General features: G+C 45.6%; 1 pseudogene across 2 annotated transcripts, besides 2 other annotated features; it reads right to left on the minus strand.

Moving 5' to 3' along the window:
• Positions 1 to 1,363: 1,363 nt before the first annotated feature.
• Positions 1,364 to 20,562, minus strand: IPO5P1 (importin 5 pseudogene 1; annotated as a pseudogene). Of its 2 annotated transcripts, NR_103741.1 has the most exons (5): positions 20,387 to 20,562; positions 16,529 to 16,603; positions 7,931 to 8,055; positions 7,175 to 7,245; positions 1,364 to 6,427 (listed from the first exon to the last, which is right to left on the minus strand). The product of NR_103741.1 is annotated as an importin 5 pseudogene 1, transcript variant 1 (transcript). The 2 variants fall into 2 exon arrangements; NR_103742.1 differs by lacking the exon at positions 16,529 to 16,603.
• Positions 20,037 to 20,256: a silencer, noted in NCBI's record as "silent region_10460". NCBI's record gives its function as "represses an Ori minimal core promoter by ATAC-STARR-seq in GM12878 lymphoblastoid cells {active_cell/tissue: GM12878}" and the evidence as "EXISTENCE:reporter gene assay evidence [ECO:0000049][PMID:35858748]".
• Positions 20,567 to 20,626: a silencer, noted in NCBI's record as "silent region_10461". NCBI's record gives its function as "represses an Ori minimal core promoter by ATAC-STARR-seq in GM12878 lymphoblastoid cells {active_cell/tissue: GM12878}" and the evidence as "EXISTENCE:reporter gene assay evidence [ECO:0000049][PMID:35858748]".

Consider the following 21,252-nt stretch of genomic DNA (forward strand, 5'->3'; position numbering starts at 1 on the left):
AATATTGTTGGCTTAATGAAAACAGCTAAATTGTACACTTTTGGTATAAACTTTTTTTTTTTTTTAGAATGGTATGAGGTCACAGGTTGGTTTAAGAGTGTGCCCTTTCTTAAGGATGATATGCATGGAAAGGCCAAAAGCAATTTCAGGATACCAAAAAAACTTCCCCTAATTGGCACTTTAACTAGTGAGGCTGGGGTGGAAGAGCTTTTCATTGACATTCCCCTTTATTTAACAATTTATTTAGTTGAATCAAATAAGGTACTCCTTTTACTTTTACAAAGCCCGGATGGCTTCTCTACCATCCAAGGAGGTAAGAAGTTAAACTGAGAGTTTTGATTGTTTTTGTTTTTTGAGATGGAATCTTGCTCTGTCACCCAGGCTGGAGTGCAGTTGCTTGATCTCGCCTTACTGCAGCCTCTGCCTCCCAGGTTCCAGCGATTCTCTTGCTTCAGCCTCCTGAGTAGCTGGGATTACAGATGCTCACCTCCACACCCAGCTAATTTGTGTATTTTTAGTAGGGACGGGGTTTCACCATTTTGGCTGGGCTGGTCTTGAACTCCTGACCTTAGGCGATCTGCCTCCCAAAGTGCTGGGATTACAGGGATGAGCCACCACGCCCAGCCAGCTGAGAGTTTTAATCCTCTATTACACAATTGGTTTCTCTGGCAATCAATCCTGGTCCTGAGGCTGTCCAGAAGCCTCCAGCCAGAAATCATCTCATTAACATACAAAAGATGCTTCTCTTTTCAGACATTCTAAAGATTTTAGGGGCTGCATACAAAGAAACTGAGACAAACTAAATACTGACATTGATAAGAGCCTCCAGACCTGGCTCAGCTCTGGCAGTCTCTGGAAAGCTTTGCTTTACTCACCTCCTTTTAATTAGAACCTACCCCCAATAACCCTGTGGACATTCTTTATAGCAGCGGCATGTTCTGGCATTTCACATCTTTGATATAATCTTGGTGTTTGTTGTTTACTTCCTTATACTTTTGTTCCGGGGAGCTATGTCTTGTTTACACTATATTCCCAGTGCCAATCACAGGCCTCAGCCCATGGCAGGTGCTCAATGAATAGTTGTTTAATCAATGCACAATGGCATTGTCTGTAAAAGGGAAGCAAGGAGTAGGTTAGAGCACAGTTTAGCTCAGCCACTTCCTATCTGGCTGACTTTGGGCAAGTTCCTGAATTTTTTCTTCTTTCAGTCACCTTGTCTGTGACACGAGGAATCATTAAACTTACCTACAGAGTTTCTGCTGATGAAGATTTAATGAGCAAAAATATCTAAATGGCTTTGAAACACTGGCTGGCACAGCAAGAGTGCTCCACACATCAACTGTGTCGACTAAGGGTCAAACTCTTTAAAATATTTGAAGAAATTTATTGAGTCAAATATGAGTGACCATGCCCCATGACACAGCCCTCAGAAGGTCCTGAGGACATGTGGCAAAGGTGTTCTTCAAAGTGTTCATTATTAAGGCATCCATCTCCCATAACTTCAATGCACTTTGCTAAACAATGCATTATTTCTGAGGACATCTGAATCTGTTTCTGTACCAATGGTCTTAATCAGAACATCACATAAATTGCCACATCTGTGTGAGATACTCAGGACCACGGACTCTCACACACTCCAGAAGAAAAGGCACGGATTCTGCTGCTGCCCCTCCAACACCATTGTGGAAATAAAATTTCAGTAAAGGGACCACCAGTTTGACAACCTGCTTGGTGTACTCCACAAAGCAGTCAAATCAGCTATGTGCTGCAAAAGGTCACTTTTTTTTTCTTTGAGATGGAGTCTCCCTGTCACCCAGGCTGGAGTGCAGTGGCGCAATCTCGGCTCACTGCAATCTCCGCCTACCTGGTTCAAGCGATTCTCCTGCCTCAGCCTCGTGGGTGGCTGGAACTACAGGCGCCTGCCACCACGCCCAGCTAATTTTTGTGTTTTAAGTAAGATGGGGGTTTCACCATGTTGGCCAGGCTGGTCTCGAACTCCTGACCTCAGGTATCCACTCGCCTCGGCCTCCCAAAGTGCTATGATTACAGGTGTGAGCCACCGAGCCTGGCCAAGGTCACAATTCTTCCTGTGAGCAGAGACCAGGTAACAGAAGAAAATCACATCACCTGTGTGAGTGGTGCAAAGACAATGTCCTCTGGTGCCAGGACCCAGGCATAAAAGTTACATCACCTGGATGTTGGACCCAGCAATATGTCACAATGGCCCAAGTAGGCAGAGACAGAAGAGTCAGATAATGTCAGTGCAGGGCCCAGCAATGTCACAAAGTCTCCTGCAGGCAAAACCTAAAAGAAGAGAAAAGTGCTGGGCATAGCAATATGCTACAATGTTCCTGTAAGCAGGGACCAGGCAGAAGAAGACAGTCACATCGCCTAGATGCTGGGCCTAGTGATATGTCAACCATCTTTTCTGTAATAAAGACCCAAGCAGGAGAAACACATCACCTGGTTGCTGGCCACAGAAATGTGCCACAATTTTCCCTGTAAGCAGGGTGCTGGCAAAAGAGGAGAGTCACATCTCCTAGGTAATAACTGTGACATACCTGTGCAGAAGTATGTCACAATGCCCCCTTCAGGAAGGGGCCAGGTAGAGAACTCCCGTCCCTTAGGTGTTGAGCCCAGTGTCACATTTGGGTATGTCACAATACCCAAATATGTGGGGCCTGAGAAAAAGAGGAGAGTCACATCACCAAGATGCTAGGCCAATGGTATGTCACAATTTCCCTGTGAGCAGAGACCAGGCAGGAGAAGAGTAACATTACCATGGTTATGGGCATTCAGTTATGTCACAAAGCCCCCTGTAGTCAAGGCCCAGGAAAATGTTACATCACTTGGGTGTTGAGCCCAGCAATATGTAATGATGTCTAATGTGACACATTGTGCTGCAATATGGCACAACATGCAGGACATAGGTTGGAGAGTCACATAACATGGGTACAGGATCCAGCAATATTTGACAATACCCAAAATTTGTGGTGTCCAAAAAGAAGAGTCACATCACTGAGATGCTGGGTCCAGTGACACATCACAATCTTCACTTTGGGTTGAACCAAGGCAGGAACATCAAACCACTCAGGTGTGTAACAAAGACATATGTCACAATCACACCTGCAGGAAGGTCCAGTAATTAAAAATCCTGCACATGTCCCAGTTCTAGGTATCAGAGTATGTTGGGTCTAAGTATGCTAGTGACAATCTCACCAACTGGATCTGTGCATGAGAGCTGAGAGCCTTCATCCCTTCCATGAACTGTTTGGCCCTAAGCCCAGGTAGGAGAGTCAACATGTCCCCCAGCCAATTAGGGACATGTTGACTATCCTACCTAGGCTTAGACAGGTAGAATTCTCACCTATGAACTGGATTTAGAAATAAGTCATTATTTCAACTCTAGCCAGATGTTCACATATGACAGTCACAATTTTAACTGTAGACTGTGTGTGTGTGTGAGATTCAGGGCCTCACCAGTGGGCTCTGTCCATGTGTGAGGGTGACAATTCTAACAGTTGGTGGGGAGTGTATATGAGAAACAATCTCATCTGTATGCTGAACCCTGTAATGACACTCTCTGTACCACAAGAGATTTATACAGTATGCAAGAAAGTGGCAATTCTTCATGACCTTTGTACAAGGAGACCCAGAATCATATTCATGACTCTAGGCCTAGCTGTTAAGAGACAGCATCTTGGGCTGGGCACAGTGGTTCATGCCTGTAACCCCAGCACTTTGGAAGGCCGAGGTGGGCAGATCACCTGAGGTTGGGAGTTCGAGACCAGCCTAACCAACATAGAGAAACCCCATCTCTACTAAAAATACAAAATTAGCTGGGCGTGGTGGCACATGCCTGTAATCTCAGCTACGTGGGAGGCTGAGGCAGGAGAATCGCTTGAACCTGGGAGGCAGAGGTTGTGGTGGGCAGAGATCACGCCATTGCACTGCAGCCTGGGTAACAAGAACAAAACTGTCTCAAAAAAAAAAAAAAAGAAAAAAGAGAGCGAGAGCAAGAGAGAGCATCTCTCCTATTAAATACTGTGAGGTATGAGAGTAATCATTGCATCTGTGATCTAGGTCAAGATATATTTTACAGGCCAGGCGCAGTCACTCACACCTGTAATCCCAGCACTTTGGGAGGCTGAGGCAGGTGCATCACCTGAGGTCAAGAGTTTGAGATCAGCCTCACCAACATTGGGAAACCCTATCTCTAATAGAAATACAAAAATTAGCCAGGTGTGGTGGCTAGCTACTAAGGAGGCTGAGGCAAGAGAATTGCTTGAACCCAGGAAGCGGAGGTTGCAGTGAGCCAAGATCATGCCACTGCACTCCAGCCTGGGTGACAAAATGAAACTGTCTCAAAAAAAAAAAGATATATTTTACAATCCTGCCTATGAATAGGGAGAGAGGAGAGTCACATCATCTGGGTTTTTAGCCAGGAATATGACACAACCTTTTTTTTTTTTTTTTTTTTTTTGAGATGGAGTTTTGCTCTTGTTGCCCAGGCTGGAGTGCAATGGCACAGTCTTGGCTCACTGCAACCTCCGCCTCCTAAGTTCAAGTGACTGCTGTGCCTCAGCCTCTCAAGTAGCTGGGACTACAGGTGCATACCACCACGCCTGGCTAATTTTTGTAATTTTTTTCCCAAGATGGAATCTTGCTCTGCTGCCCAGGCTGGAGTGCAGTGGCATGATCTTGGCTCACTGCAACCTCCACCTCCCGGGTTCAAGCAATTCTCCTGCCTCAGGCTCCCGAATAGCTGAGTTTACAGGTGCCCGCCACCACACCCGATTAATTTTTGTATTTTTAGTAGAGACGGGGTTTCACCATGTTGGCCATCTGGTCTCAAACTCCTCAGGCGATCCACCCACCTCGGTCTCCCTAAGTGCTGGGGATTACTGGCATGAGCCACCGGGCCCGGCTTGACACAACCTTTTCTGAGGGCAGAGATCAGTCAGGAGTGTGACTGCATACTCAGCCAGGAATAAGTTACAACCTTCTCCTGAAAGCAGCACACAGGCAGCAGAGTCACATCACCTGGGTGCTGAGCCCAGCAATCAGTAACAATGCTCTCTGTGGTCCAGGCCCAGGCAGCAGAGACACATCACCTGGTACCTGGGCCAGCCACAATTTTTTCTGTGGGGCACGTACAGGCAAAAATGGAGCATCACATCTCCTAGGTTATTGATGCAGAGGTATGTCACAAGGCCCTCTGTAGAAAGAGCCCAGGTGGTAGTCTCCCATTTTATAGGTGTTGGACCTAGTAATATGTCTTAACATGAAAAATATTCAGGGCCTAAGCAAAAAAGGAGAGTCACATAACCTGAGTGCAGGGCTTAGGAATATGTCACAATGCAACATGTGGGCAGCTCCAAGGCTGGAAAAAAGAGTCACATCTTGGAGGTTCAGAGTCAAGCCATATGTCACAATCTCATTTGTGTGCTTGGCCAAGGCAGGAGAGTCAAATCACTAAGGTGCTTTGCAATGCACACAATCACACCTGCAGGAAAGTCCAGGGATTAGATTAGAAATTCCAAACATGTCCAGGTTCTAAAGGTATGAAAGTCAACACCTCCTGTATGTTGGGTCTAAGTACATGAGTCGCAATCACAATGATTGACAGAATGTGTGCAAAAGAGCCACAGTTTCTTCTGCAGACTGTATCTTCTTAGTGTAGTCACAGCCTTACATGTGCGCTGAACCTTGGTCTGGAAGTCACTAACCCACCTGTGGACCAGATCCACACATGAGAGGCAATTATCCAACTTTTGACAGCCTCTGTGAAATTCAGAACTTCAACAGTGGGATGTGTTTATGTGGGAGAATGACAATCTTTACTGTTGCCTGGGTGTGCATTCGAGAGACACTCTGTGTCACCTGAGGACTTTATACAATATGCAAGATTGATAATCCTCTATGACCTTTGCACAAGGAGCTCCAGAATCTTTCCTGTGGTTCTAAGCCCAGATATGAGAGTCAACATCTCTCTCACCAACTGAGTCCAGATAGGAGAGTCTTCACCTTCCTATGAGCTGGATTTAGAAATGAGTCACCATCCCAACTGTAGCCAGATGTTCACATATGACAGTCACAATTCCAACTGCGGACTGTGTTCACATGTAATTCAGAACCTCACTAGCAGACTCTGTCAATGGGTCAGGGTGACAACTGTAAAGGTTGGTGTAGTGTGCATAGGACAAACACAATCTCACTTGTGTGCTGGGCCCTGTTATGACATTCTCTGTAACACACTAGGGCGTAATATATGTGAGAGAGTAGTAATTCTTTATGACTTTTGTACAGAAAGACTTCCTCATTTTCCTAAGCCTGAGAGCAACATTCTCTCTGCTATTGGCTTCTTCAAGGTATGACAGTCATCATTACATCTGTACGCTTGGCCAGATATATGTCACAATCCTACCTGTATGTAAAGAGCAAATTCAAGAGTTACATGAACTGTGTGTTGGGCCAGGGCTATGTCACAATCCTCCCTGAGGGCAGGCATCAAACAGGAGAATCACATCACTGGGGGCTTGACCAGGGATGTTACAATCCCTCCTGAAAGCAGGGCACAGGTAGAAGAGTGAGATCCCTTGGGTGCTGGGCCCAGATATGACAGACAAAACGACTGGTTGCTGGGCCCAACAATATGTCAAAATCTTCCCTGTGGGCAGAATGCAGGCAAAAATACAGAGTTTTATCTCCTGCATGATGGATGCAGAAATACATCACAAAGCTGGGTGCAGTGGCTCACAACTGTAATCCCAGCATTTTGGGAGGCCAAGGCAGGTGGATCACCTGATTTCAGGAGTTTGAGACCAGCCTGACCAACATGGAGAAACCCCGTCTCTATTAAAAATAGAAAATTAGCCGGGCATGGTGGCAGATGCCTGTAATCCCAGCTACTCGGGAGGTTGAGGCAGGAGAACTGCTTGAACCCGGGAGGCGGAGGTTGCGGTGAGCCAAGGTTGCGCCACCGCATGCCAGTCTGGGCAACAATAACAAAACTCCATCTCAAAGAAAACAAAAAACAAACAAAAAAACATCACAAGGCCTCCTGTGGGAGGGACTCAGGCAGGAGCCTTCCAACCCCTAGGTGTTTGTTCCAGTTGTATATCACAATGTCTAAAATATGCAGGTCTCAGGCAAATGAGGAGAGTCATATCACCTAGGTGCTGGGTCCAGTGATCTGTCACAATCTTTTCTTTTGGCAGGCCTGAAGCAGAAGAGTCACGTTACCTAGATAATGAATAAAGAGATGTGTTATTTCCGTGGGAGCATCCATGCAGGACAGTCACATCACCTTGGTGTTGGACCCAGAGACATGTTGCAACACACAATGTATGCAGGTCCCAAGCAGAAGAGGAGAGTCATATCACCTAGGTTCTTGGTCCAGAAATATTTCATGATATTTCTGGAGGGGAGGGCCTAGGCAAAGAAGTCACATTACCTAAGTGAGAGGCCTAAAGATATGTCACAATGCCTCCTGCGGGTAGGGCTCATAAACAAGAGGAGAGTCACATAACGTAGGTGCTGGGCTCAGCTTTATGTTACAATCATCCCAGTAGGAAGGGCCCAAGCATGAAAGAAAAGTCACATCACATAAGAGCTACGTCAAGCGATGTATCACAATTCCCACTGTGGACCCCAGAAGAGGAGTCACATCATCTAGGTGATGGGCCCAAACATATATCACAGTGACTTGTGTGTGCAAGGACCAAGCAGAATAATTACATCACTGGTGTGCTTGGTCCAGTGATAAGTCACTCTCTATTCTGTGGGCACGGCCCAGGCAGTAGAGGAGTGTCAAATCACGTAGGTAAAAGAGGGCATTTATCTGTGCTTTTCCCACAGGAGAGATTGCAGTGGGTCAACAGATAGGTCACAATGCTTCCTGTGATCAGGGTTCAGGCAGGGAACTCACATCATCTTGGTGCTGGGCACAGCAGTATGTCTCAATGCCTTCCAAGGGCACAGCCAAAGCAAATAACTAACATCACCTTAGTGTTAGGCCCAGCAATATGTCACAATCTCCTTTGTTGTCAGAACCTAGAATAAAGAAAAGTCACATCAGCTAGGTGCTGGGCCCAATATGTCCCAATACCCCCTGTGAGTACAGAACAGGGAGGAATAAAAAGTCACATTTCCTGGGTGATTGGTGAAGACATATATTACAATGCCCTCTGTAGACAGGTCCAGGGTGAAGCGTTACATCACCTGGGTGTTGCACTCAGCAATGTTACAATGGCCTATGTGTTTAGGGCACAAGCAAGAGTCACATAACATACGCCCAGCAATATGTCACAATACACCTGTGGGCAGCACCAAGGCAGAAGAGGAGACTCAAATCACCTAGGTGCAATGCCCAGCGATGTCACAATGACCCCTGTGGGCTGTATCAAGGCAGAATAGAATCACATTACCAAGGGTCTGGATCCAGTGATATGGCACTGTGAGCTGGACCCAGGAAACAACAAATAACTCAGATGCTAGGCCAAGGTATATGTCACAATTACACTTGTCAAAAGGCCTTGCGATGACATTAACAATTACACACATGTCCTGAGTCAAGGGATGAGAGTCAACACCTCCTGCATGTTGGGTGTAAGTACAGGGTGGACTGGATTTGTGCGAGAGCCTCAATTTCCTTTGCAAATTGTGTGCCTTAGACTGGGCACGGTGGCTCACACCTGTAATCTCAGCATTTTGGGAGGCCGAGGTGGGCGGATCACTTGAGGTCAGGAGTTCAAGACCAGCCTGACCAACATGGTAAAGCCCCATCTCTACTAAAAATACAAAAAATTAGCCAACATGGTAGTGAGCACCTGTAATCCCAGCTACTTGGGAGAATCAGGCAGGAGAATCGCTTGAACCCAGTAGGCAGAGGTTGCAGTGAGCGGAGATCACGCCACCGCACTCCAGCCTGGGTTACAAGAATGAAACTTCATCTCTAAATAAATAAAGCTCCTTAGTGAAGTTACAGTCACAAAGGTGTGCTGAATTTTGATTAAAGAGTCACCCAAATGTGGACAAAATCCACACAAATGAGAGTCAATTTTCCAACATTCAACTGCCTCCAAAAGTGAGATTCAGAACCTCAAAAGTAGGGTGTGTTTAAGTAAATGACAATCTTTGCTATTGACTGGGTGTGAATGTAAGTTTGACAATCTCACCTGTGTGCTTGGCCCTGTAAGGGCACTCTCTTGAGGACTGTATGAGTTGCAACCTACTCTGAGAACTTTGCGCTGCTTTGGACCCATGATCTTATGTGGTCCTAAGTCTAGGTATGGGTCAACATCTCTTCAATTGGCTGGGTCCAGAGAGGAGAGTCCTCACTCACCTATGAGCTGGGTTTAGAAATGAGTCACCATCTCAACTGTGGCCACGTTTACATATGATAGTTACAATTTTAACTGTGGACTGCATCTGTGCATGAGAATTATGACCTCATCAGTGGACTTTCACCATGTGTGACGATGACAATTCTAAAAATTGTCAGGGAGCGCTTACATGAAACATGATCTAACCTGTTTGCTGGGTCCTATGATGACATGCTCTGTATCATCTGAGTGCTTTATACAATATATGAGAGTGGTGATTCGCTATAACCTTCATGCAGAGAGGAGACCTGAGATTTTACTCCTTTTTCTAAGCCTAGCTGTGAGAGACACTATCTCTTCTATTGACTGGTATGAAGTATTAGAGTCATCATCAAACCTGTGAGCTGGGATGAGATATATGTTACCAATCAACTTGTTGGCAGAAAGCACCCAGGAGAGTCGCATCACCTGGATGCTGGGCCACTGATATGTAAATTTTTTCCCTGAGGGCTGTGAAAAGCCAGGAGAGTCACATCATCTGGGTTTTCAACCAGTGACATGTTACAACTTTCTCCTGAAAGTTATGTACATTCAGGTGAGACACAACAGCTGGCGGCCAGGCCCTGCAGTGTCACAATCTTTCCTGTGGGCAGGGTACAGGCAGAAAAGGTATCACATGTTTTATGTAATGGATGCAGATATATGTCCAGATATATGTGGACAGGGCTGAGGCAGGAGCCTCCCATTTTTTAGGTGTTTGGCCCAGTGAAATGTCACAATACCCAAAATAAGTGGTTGCTAGACAGAAGAGTCTCATCACCTAAGTTCTGGTTTAAGTGATATGTCACAATCTTTCTTTTTGACAGGGTTCAGGGAGGAAAGGAGTCATATCACTGAGATGAACAAAAATAAATGTCCTAATAACCCCATGCTCAAGGTCCATGTGAGAGAGTTGAATCACCCATGTGTTGAACCCAGTGACATGTCAAAATATACAATTTATGCAGGGCCCAGGCAGGAGAAGACAGTACCTTCACCTAGGTGTCAGGCCCAGTGATACATCACAATACCTTCTGTGACAGAGTCCAAGCAGTGGAGAAGAGTCACATTACCTAGGTGCTGAGTCAAAAAATATGTCACAAAAATCACTGAAGGGAGGGCCCAGGCAGGAGTCAAACTACGTAAATTAGGGGCTCAGAGATATGTTGCAATGACCTCTGTGGGTTGGACTCAGGAGAAACAGGAGAGACACATAACCTAGGAGCTGAGTACAGCTATATGACATAATCACCCAATTTGATAAGCCCAGGCAAAAGAAGAGAGTCATATCACATAAGTGCTGGGCCAAGTGATGTGTCACAATCCTCATTATGGACAGTTCCCAGAAAGAAAAGGAGAGTTACATCATCTAGGTGATGGGTCTAGATATGTCACAATAAGCCATGTGGGCTGGGATCATGCAGAAGAATCGAATCACTTGTGTGTTAAGCCTAGTGATAAGTCACTCTTTTCTGTGGGCATGGACCAGGCAGGGTAGGACAGTCATAATATCTAGGTGCTGGGCCCAGAGATAGGTCACAATCTCTACTATTAGCAAAGCCCACGTAAGAAAAGAGTCGCCGGGCACAGTGGCTGATGCCTGTAATCCCAGCACTTTGGGAGGCCGAGGCAGGCAGATCACCTGAGGTCAGAAGTTTGAGACCAGCCTGACCAACATGGAGGAATCCTTCTCTACTAAAAATACAAAAAATTAGCTGGGCATGGTGGCAGGCACCTGTAATCCCAGCTACTTGGGAGGCTGAAGCAAGAGAATTGATTGAACCCGGGAGGCGGAGGTTGTGGTGAGCCAAGATCATGCCACTGCACTGCAGCCCAGGCGACAGTGCAAGACTCTGTCTCAATTAAAAAAAAACAAACAAAACAAAAAACCCCAAAAAAACACAAAGGAAAAAAAAACAACAAAGCTCTACTGTGTACTAAATATTTCACAAAATATTTTTTCTTTTTTTTTTTTTTTGTTTTTTTTTGAGATGGAGTTTTACTCGTTGCCCAGGCTGGAGTGCAATAGTGTGATCTCGGCTCACTACAACCTCTGCCTCTCAGGTTCAAGCGATTCTCCTGACTCAGCCTCCCGAGTAGCTGGGACTAGAGGCACCCACCACCATGCCCAGCTAATTTTTATATTTTTAGTAGAGACAGGGTTTCACAATGTTGGCCAGGCTGGTCTTGAACTCCTGACCTTGTGATCCACCCACCTCAGCCTCCCAAAGTGCTGGGATTACAGGCATGAGCCACTGCATCTGGCCCAGAAAATTTTCATAAACAGGGGCAAATATTATTACTTCTCATAAATTATTGTTGTATTGTGCATTAATATATAAAAAATTGCTAGGATAAAATTTAGTAGTCAATATAGCCCAAGAAAGATTGTTGCCAGGCATGGTGGCTCATGCCTGTAATCTCAGCAATTTGGGACTCCAAATGATCCCAAAGGATCACTTAAAGTGAGGAGTTCCAGACCAGCCTGGCCAACATGGTGAAACGTCTCTATTTAAAAAAAAAAAAAAAAAAAAAAAAAAAAAAAAAAAAAATCAGCCAGGCGCAGTGGCTCACGCCTATAATACCAGCACTTTGGGAGGCCGAGGCGGGTGGATCACAAGGTCAGGAGATCGAGACCATCCTGGCTAACAAGGTGAAACCCCGTCTCTACTAAAAATACAAAAAATTAGCCGGGCGTGGTGGCGCCTGTAGTCCCAGCTACTCAGGAGGCTGAGGCAGGAGAATGGCATGAACCTGGGAGGCAGAGCTTGCAGTGAGCCGAGATGGTGCCACCGCACTGCAGCCTGGGCGACAGAGCGAGACTCCGTCTCAAAAAAACAAAAACAGAAACAAAAACAAACAGAAAAAACATTAGCCAGGCTTTGTGGCGCGTACCTGTAATCCCAGCTACTCAAAATGCTGAGGCAGAAGAATCACTAAAACCTGGGAGACAGCAGTTGCAGTGAGCCAAGATCGCGCCACTGCACCCCATCTTGGGTGACAGAAGATGACTGTCTCAAAAAAAAAAAAAAAAAATTGTTGCCATTCTTGCTATAATGCTATAAACCTGTAAATTCTATAAAACTCTCAATTTCATATTCTCCATGAATTCTTACAGGCACACACCTGTAATCCCAGCTACTTGAAAAGCTGAGACAGAAGTATTGCTTGAACCCTGAAGACAGAGGTTTGCAGTGAGCCGAAATTGTGCCACTGCACTCCAGCGTGGGGAATAGGCAAGACTCTTTCCCAAAAAAAAAAAAAAAAAAAAAAAAACACAGAAACATAAGCCCAACCCCGGATCTCTTGAATGAGAATCTGCATCTCAAGATGATCTCCAGTTTATTGTTGCACATGATACAATTTGCAAAGTGTGCTTCTAAATCACTGACTTTTCTACCTGATAATTATACACAGCTGATTCTGGATGATTTAAAATAGCACTCAGGCCAGGTGCGGTGGCTCACACCTGTAATCCCAGCACTTTGGGAGGCCGTGGTGGGCAGATCACAAGGTCAAGAGATCAAGACCATCCCGGCCAACATGGTGAAACCCTGTCTCTACTAAAAATACAAAAATTAGCTGGGTGTGGTGGCCTGCGCCTGTAGTCCCAGCTACCTGGGAGGCTGAGGCAGGAGAATGGCTTGAACCCGGGAGGCTATGTTGCAGTGAGCCGAGATCACGCCACTGCACTCCAGCCTGGTGACAGAGCGAGACTCTGTCTCAAAAAAAAAACGTAAAAATAAATTTAAAAATATAAAAAATTAGCCAGGTGTGCTGTTGCACATGTAATCCCAGATACTCGGGAGGCTGAGGTAAGAGAATTGCCTGAACCTGGGAGGTGGAGGCTGCAGTGAGCTGAGACTGTGCCACTGCACTCCAGCCTAGGCAACAGGGCAAAGACCTCGTCTCAAACAAACCAACAAACCAACAAACAAACCAGGCTGACTTCTGCGTAAAATATTCCCTGATCTAGCATCTACTTTCACCATGTTCTATCCCTCCCCTTCCCACTTTTTTTCTGACTTTGTTTTCTCTTCCTTATGAAAGAAAGTCCTTTTCTCTCTAACCTTTAAAATTCTCCAACATCTTATAATTGGTGCTTTCCCCTTGTTGCAATACTCCTTTAAAATTAAGTAACTTCATTAGCTGGGCATGATGGCGGGTGCCTGTAATCCCAGCTACTTGGGAGACTGAGGCAGGAGAATTGCTTGAACCCGGGAGGCGGAGGTTGCAATGAGCCAAGATCACCCCATTGGACTCGAGCCTAGGGAACTGAGCGAAATGCCATCTCAAAAAAAAAAAAACAAAAAATTAAGTAACTTCTTACCAAGCACAGTGGCTCACACCTGTAATTTCAGCACTTTGGGAGGCTGAGGTGGGTGGATCACCTGAGGTCCAGAGTTTGAGAACAGCCTGACCAACATGGTGAAACCCCATCTCTACTAAAAATACAAAAATTAGCCAGGCATCAGGGCGCCTGTTTGTAGTCCTAGCTACTAGGGAGGCTGTGGCAAGAAGATCGCTTGAATCTAGGAGACAGAGGTTGCAGTGAGCCGAGATTGCACCACTGTACTACATCCTGGGTGAGAGAATGAGACTCAAAAAATTAAGTAACTTCTTACCTAAATCTAAATTTGTCATATTTTACAAAATCTAGAAACAACCTCAGAATAATAACAACTCTATTCCCAGAAAGAGCTTCCCAACCCCACTTTTGTGCCAATCCCAACTGCATCTGCCTGTGGATTTCGAGGTTTTCAGGGCTCCGTGGCTTCTCTAAGTATAAATGCTCTGTCCATGGCTATTGTGAGCAGGCCAGAACATCTGCAGGGGAGGCTCCTCAGGCAGAACTGGCTGCTCCTTCAATGATCTCACTTTACAGGCAAAGCTGTCCTTAGCTTGCAGTCACTGAGTTCAGGCTTCTACTTACCAGTCAGGGTTACTCACTTAGTTTTAAATAAGAAAATGACCAATGTAAGGCCAGGTGCGGTGGTTCAATGCCTGTAATCCCAGCACTTTGGGAGGCTGAGGCAGGAGGATCACTTAAGGTCAGGAGTTCGAGACCATCCTGACCAATTTGGTGAACCCCATCTCTACTAGAAATACAAAAATTAGCCGGGCGTAGTGGCATGCACCTGTAATCCCAGCTATCCATAAGGCTGAGGCATGAGAATCCCTTGAACCCGGGAGGCGCAGGTTGCAATAAGCCAAGATCGCACCACTGCACTCCAGCCTGGGCGATAGAGCAAGACTCAGTCTCAAAAAAAAAACAACAAAAAAAGTCAAAAAACGAAAATGACCAACGTTTCAAGAAAAGAGTAAAATCACTCCAACACATTGTTTATAGAATATTGTAAGGAAATTGTAAGACTTAAATTTTCTACTACAATATAAAAAGCTTAAGTAGGTTTGGGCACAGTGGCTCACACCTGTAATCCCAGCAATTTGGGAGGCTGAGGTGGGTGGATCACCTAAGGTCAGGAGTTCAAGACCAGCCTGGCCAACATGGTGAAACCCGTCTCTACTAAAAATACAAAAATTAGCTGGGCGTGGTGGTGCTTGCCTATAGTCCCAGCTACTTGGGAGGCTGAGGCAGGAGGATCGCTTGAACCCGGGAGGTGGAGGTTGTAGTGAGCCGAGATCATGCCACTGCACTCAAGCCTGGGTAACACAGTGAGGCTCCATCTCAAAAAAAAAAAAAAAAAGAAAAGCATAAGTATCTGTCCTTTTCAGACAATAACATGTTATTTAAATATTTCCCTGATAGACAATTTAATAAACAACTATATGTGAACATTTCTAGAAGGTGTCAAGTTCCATCTCATAAAATTTAGCATTAAACTTGGACATTCAGACAACAGAATACAGAACAGAGATACCCATCGTTACAAATTCTAGACCCTGCAAAAAAGAGGAGTTGATGGTTTGAGAAATATATACAATGCACCAATTAATCTATCACATTTGCTTGTAGAAATGTATTCACTTTCTATAGCTTTAATGGAAAAAAGATTTTTCCATTTCTCTTCTCTGACAGCATTCCCCAAAGCAAAGCCCTGGGGTTCTATTTAAAATCTTGCAACCGGCCGGGCACAGTGGCTCATGCCTGTAATCCCAACACTTTGGGAGGCTGAGGCGGGTGGATCACGAGGTCAGGAGATCAAGACCATCCTGGCCAACATGGTGAGACCCCGTCTCTACTAAAAATACAAAAAATTAGCCGGGCATGGTGGCGGGCGCCTGTAGTCCCAGCTGCTCGGGAGGCTGAGGCAGGAGAATGGCATGAACCCGGGAGGCAGAGCTTGCAGTGAACCGAGATTGCACCACTACACTCCAGCCTGGGTGACAGAGCGAGACTCCATCTCAAAAAAAAAAAAAAAAAAAAAATCATGCAACCAGAAAAAACAGACATGAGAAACTTACTACATTCACTCTGGGGAAGATAAAGGTAAATAAGAATCTGTAACAAATAACATATATGACTAGATTTTTCTGAAATATACCTTTCAAAGTCTTTGACTTTTTAAACATCATTTAAGCTCTTTTGATGAAATGTAACTTACAGTTATTAAAAAACTGAAATCAAAATAAGTGAAAAAATCTTTCCAAGGTGACAAACTCAGGAAGTGGCAGTGCTGATTGGAACACAAACATGTCTGACTCCACTGTCAAGTCAGACCATAATATCACTCAAAACATTCTCCCATCCCCACCCTGCCCATTAAATTAGTGACCACCTTCCCAGGAGACACTGTACTGTACCCCACTGTAAGCCTCAGGTGCATTTTGCTTCAGGTTCTTGCATTGCCTTACTGGGATGGGAGCTTCTTGTCCTTTGGAAAAAATTTTATTTCAAGAATCAACAGAAATCATTTCTGCTTTTTCTCATCAATAACAACATCTGATTGGCTCACCACCAACGTGTCTACTAAGAATAAAAATTAGGTTGATAGGTTGAGAGGCCGGGCGTGGTGGCTCACACCTGTAATCCCTGCACTTTGGGAAGTGGGTGGATCGCCTGAGGTCAGGAGTTCGAGACCAGCCTGGCCAACATGATGAAACCCCATCTCTACTAAAAATACAAAAAATTAGCCGGGTGTGGTGGCAGGTGCTTGTAATCCCAGCTACTCAGGAGGCTGAGGTAGGAGAATCACTTGAACCTGGGAGGCGGAGGTTGTAGTAAGCCGAGATTGGGATAATGCACTCCAGCCTGGGCAACAAGAGTGAAACTCCATCTAAAAAAAAAAAAAAAAAAAATAGGTTGAGAAGAAACTTTTTAACTGTTTACACACTTGTTCATTTTTATGTCATCAGGGAAGACCCCTCAATATATTTCAGAGTCAACGGGTAACATTTTATTTTTAATAATTTTTTTTGAGACAGAGTCTCGCTCTGTCACCCAGGCTGGAGTGCAGTGGCATGATCTCAGCTCACTGCAACCTCCGCCTCCCAGGTTCAAGCGATTCTCCTGCCTCAGCCTCCCGGGTAGCTGGAACTACAGGTGCCCGCCACCACGCCCAGCGAATTTTTGTATTTTTAGTAGACACAGGGTTTCACCATATTGGCTAGGCTGCTCTTAAACTCCTGACTTTGTGATCCGTCCACCTCCAACCTCCCAAAGTGCTGGGATTACAGGCATGAGCCACCACGCCCAGGCTTTTTTTTGTTTTGTTTTATTTTTTGAGATGGAGTCTTGTTCTATTGCCCAGGCAGGAGTGCAGTGGTGATCTTGGCTCACTGCAACCTCTGCCTCCCGGGTTCAAGCAATTCTCCTGCCTCAGCCTCCTGAGTATCTGGGATTACAGGCACATGCCACAACGCCCAGCTAATTTTTTGTATTTTTAGTAGAGACAGGGTTTCACCATGTTGGCCAGGCTGGAAATAATTTTTTACTCTGGGACTGGGTGCAGTGGCTCATGCCTGTAATCCCAGCTACTTGGGAAGCTGAGGTGGGAGCATCACTTGAATCTGGGAGGCTGAGGTTGCAGTGAGCCGAGATCGCACCACTGCACTCCAGCCTGGGCAACAGAGCGGGATTCTGTCTCAAAAAAAAAAAAAAAGGTATACTCTGCACCAGCAGCATTAACACAAAAAGTTCTATTAAACCCTGACACCCACTCAAATGTCACCTCCTTTATAAAGCTCTGATTTTCCCTCTATGTCAGTGGCACAATTGATCACTATTACCATTCAGCTCAATACCTTATGTCTTTTTATGTGCAAGTATTATTCTCCAGAATAAATTAATCATTTACACATCTATCCATGCTAATGAACTATAAACTCCTACAGGGCAGGTATGTTGAACCCTGTTCATCTGTGTAATCAAAATGTCTTATACATAATAGGTATCATATACAAGCAAAATCCCTGTCAGGGAATTATTGGAAAAGCTACCAAATTCTTTTAAGTTCAAGGGTACATGTGCAAATTTTTTACATAGATAAATGTGTGTCATGGCGATTTTTTGTGCAGATTATTTCACCACCCAAGTATTAAGCCTACTACCCATTAGTTATTTTTCCTGATCCTCTCCCACGTCCGATAGGCCCCAGTATGTGTTGTTCCCCTCTATGGGTCCATGTGTTCCCATCACTTAACTCCCACTTGTAAGTGAGAACATGCGGTAGTTTTCTATTCCTGTGTTAGTTTCCTAAGAATAATGGCTTACAGCTCTGTCCACGTTCCTGCAAAAGATATGATCTCATTTTTTGTATGGGTGCACAGTGGCATGGTGTATATGTACAACATTTTCTTTATCCAGTCTATCACTGATAGGCATTTAGGTTGATTCCATGTCTTTGCTATTGTGAATTGTGCTGCAGTGCACATACGCATGCATGAGTCTTTATAATAGAATGATTCACATTGCTTTGGGTAAATACCCAATAATGGATTGCTGGGTCAAATGGTATTTCTGTCTTTAGGTCTTTGAGGAGTTGTCACACTGTCTTCCATAATGGTTGAACTAATTTACACTCCCACCAACAGTTCATAAGGGTTCCTTTGTGAAAAAATAATTTTAATTTTCTAAGAGGTTAGCTTTTTAGACAAATAGTATACAAGAAAATTTTCCACAGGCCTAGGCCATCCAGCTGCTCTTCTGAGAGGCTACACTCTTACTCCTCAGGCTGTTCTCCAAGAGATGACCCAGGGGATGATATTCATTAGACACTCCAAGAGATATGGCCACTGTGGGTATCTTGGATTATCCCAGACCATTCTGAAACTCATGACCAAAAAAAGACTGGAGGGCTGCTGTAAAGGGCTCTGTAATTTCTCCAAAGCAAAGCTTCAACCCAAAGATTTACTAAGGTGTGTGTGCCTAGAAAAGATAAAAGGAAGAGAGGCACAGATTTTTTTTTTTCCCAGTGGAATTTCAGAGGATTATTTTCTACTTTTTTCTCACGTAAAATGTTTACAGACTTGGGAGGCTGAGGCGGGTGGATCACCTGAGGTCAGGAGTTCGAGACCTGCCTGGCAAACAAGACAAAAGCCTGTCTCTACTAAAAATACAAAAATTAGCCAGTCATGGTGGCAGAAGCCTGTAATCCCACCTACTTGGGAGGCTGAGGCAGGAGAATCCCTTGAACCTGGGAGGTGGAGGTTGTAGTGAGCTGAGATCACGCCATTGCACTCCAGCCTGGGCAACGAGAGTGAAACTGCCTCAAAAAAAAAAAAAAATGTTTACAGACAGAAAACAAATCTTTAAAAACCTGCCATTCACTGCTGTGTAAAAACATGATTAACAATTAAAACACTGTGTTTGAAATGTACAATAAAGGACAAATAGTTGATAGTGTTGTAAATTGGAGAGAGGAAGCTGTCCTCATTTCCTACATTTGAGAATGTAGGAATGAAAGCGGACATTTATAATTTTACTGCAAGCCTGAGTTAAGCTAGGAGAAAAGGTGGATTTGAAGTCCTGCTTGCCATACATTAGGAAGTCACAGAGGTAAACCAGTCCTGTGGAGTGTTGAGATAACTAAAAAGCAGGAAATTAGACTGAAGTGGCTCTAGTGCCCTGTGTTCATAAGTAAAAAATGAAAAACCTAACTCAAATTCACTTCTTATAAATTACTATTTTAGGCAGAAACAAAATTCAGGCTTAACCAATCATAAACCTGCAATTAACCTCTGATTACATAACCAGGAAATTTCCACCTGAATCATACAAATAAGGTGACTACATAACTGTAACCAATTCTCCAATTTGGTTTGCCTTCTCACACGCCCTTTATAAAACCCTTTCCTTTATGTCTCTCAGGTGGGCCACATATTATGGCTGGGTGTTTTCCATTTCACCAATCACTGCTCAAATAAACTCGTTAACGTTTTAACATTGACTCCCTTTAATATTTAATAGAAGCGGCTGGGCGCGGTGGCTCATGCTTGTAATCTTAGCACTTTGGGAGGCCATGGCGGGCGTATCACTTGAGGCCAGGAGTTCCAGACCACCTTCCACCATGGTGAAACCACTTCTCTACTAGAAATACAAAAATTTGCCAGGCGTAGTGGCGCAGGTCTGTAATCCCAGCTTCTCGGGGGCCGGGGGGGGGGGCGCTGAGGCACGGGAATCGCTTGAGCCTGAGAGGCAGAGGTTGCAGTGATCACGCCACTGCACTCCAGCCTGGGCAACAAAGCAAGACTCCGTCTCAAACAAACAAACATGTTTAACAAGAGACTGGGAGTCTCACCTGCCACAGCTCCTTCTACGCACACACGAGTCGGAATTCTGCCCTAATGACCCGCCTGGCATCCCTGAACAATCCGGGAAATACTCGGCGCTGCGTGCAGAGCTGCCCAGGGAGCTCCAGACACGGCGCCGCAGGGTCCGGGCGGGACGCCGGGGTCCCGGCTGCGGGCCCAGCCGCCATCTTACGGCGAGAGGGGTCTGGGGCGGAGCTCCGCCAGCGGAGACTCAGGTTGGCGACCCGGGAGCGGACTGTGGGGAGGCCGGTCCCGCCGGTTTCACAGCTCGCTCTCCCCTCTCGGGATGCCCAGCCCCGCACACTCACCTTTTCCCAGCTTCCAGGATGTCCTGGCATCTTAGCTGTGCGTCTCCCAGAACCTGCAGATCACAGGGCAAGAGGCTGTGACAGTCACCGGGGGCTCCCGAGGTGGAGGACGTAAAACAGCAGAGACCGATCCCAAGCTGTGGCGGGAGTGAGATACAAAGGCCCCACCAAATGCCGGAAGCCACGCCCTCCTCTCCAACTGGGCGGTTCCTGCGCTAGCGCCACTGATTGGATAAAGCACCAGCACTCTCTCTCCATACCAACCCCCTCCTCTCAGCATTAGTGCATTTTACTGACAGGAAAACAGGCTAAAGTAGGTAGGGTAAGGTGCACAGGGAATTACAGCTAATAAAGAAGTGAGCTGAGACTTGAAATGCACTTGCTCTTTCCCTTACCTGGGTTTGCTTGTATAATGCATCTTATTTACTACTTAAGGGTAAGAAAAAAACATTTGGACTTTTTTTTTTTTTTGTACCTAGTTTCGCTCTTATTGCCCAGGCTGGAGTGCAATGGTGCAATCTTGGCTCACTGCAACCTCCGCCTCCCGGGTTCAAGCGATTCTCCTGCCTCAGCCTTCCGAGTAACTGGGATTACAGGCGCATGCCACCACGCCCGGCTACTTTTTGCATTTTTAGTAGAGACAGGGTTTTGCCGTGTTGGCCAGGCTGATCTCGAACTCCTGACCTCAGGTGATTTGCCCCCCTCAGCCTCCCAAAGTGCTGAGATTACAGGCGTGAGCCACCGTTCCCGGCCCATTTGGACTTTTTTTTTGAGACGGAGTATCGCTCTGTCTCCCAGGCTGGAGTGCAGTGGCACGATCTCGGCTCACTGCAAGCTCCGCCTCCCGGGTTCAGGCCATTCCCCTG

Source organism: Homo sapiens, chromosome 19 (assembly GCF_000001405.40).
Source record: "Homo sapiens chromosome 19, GRCh38.p14 Primary Assembly".
NCBI lineage: Eukaryota > Metazoa > Chordata > Mammalia > Primates > Hominidae > Homo > Homo sapiens.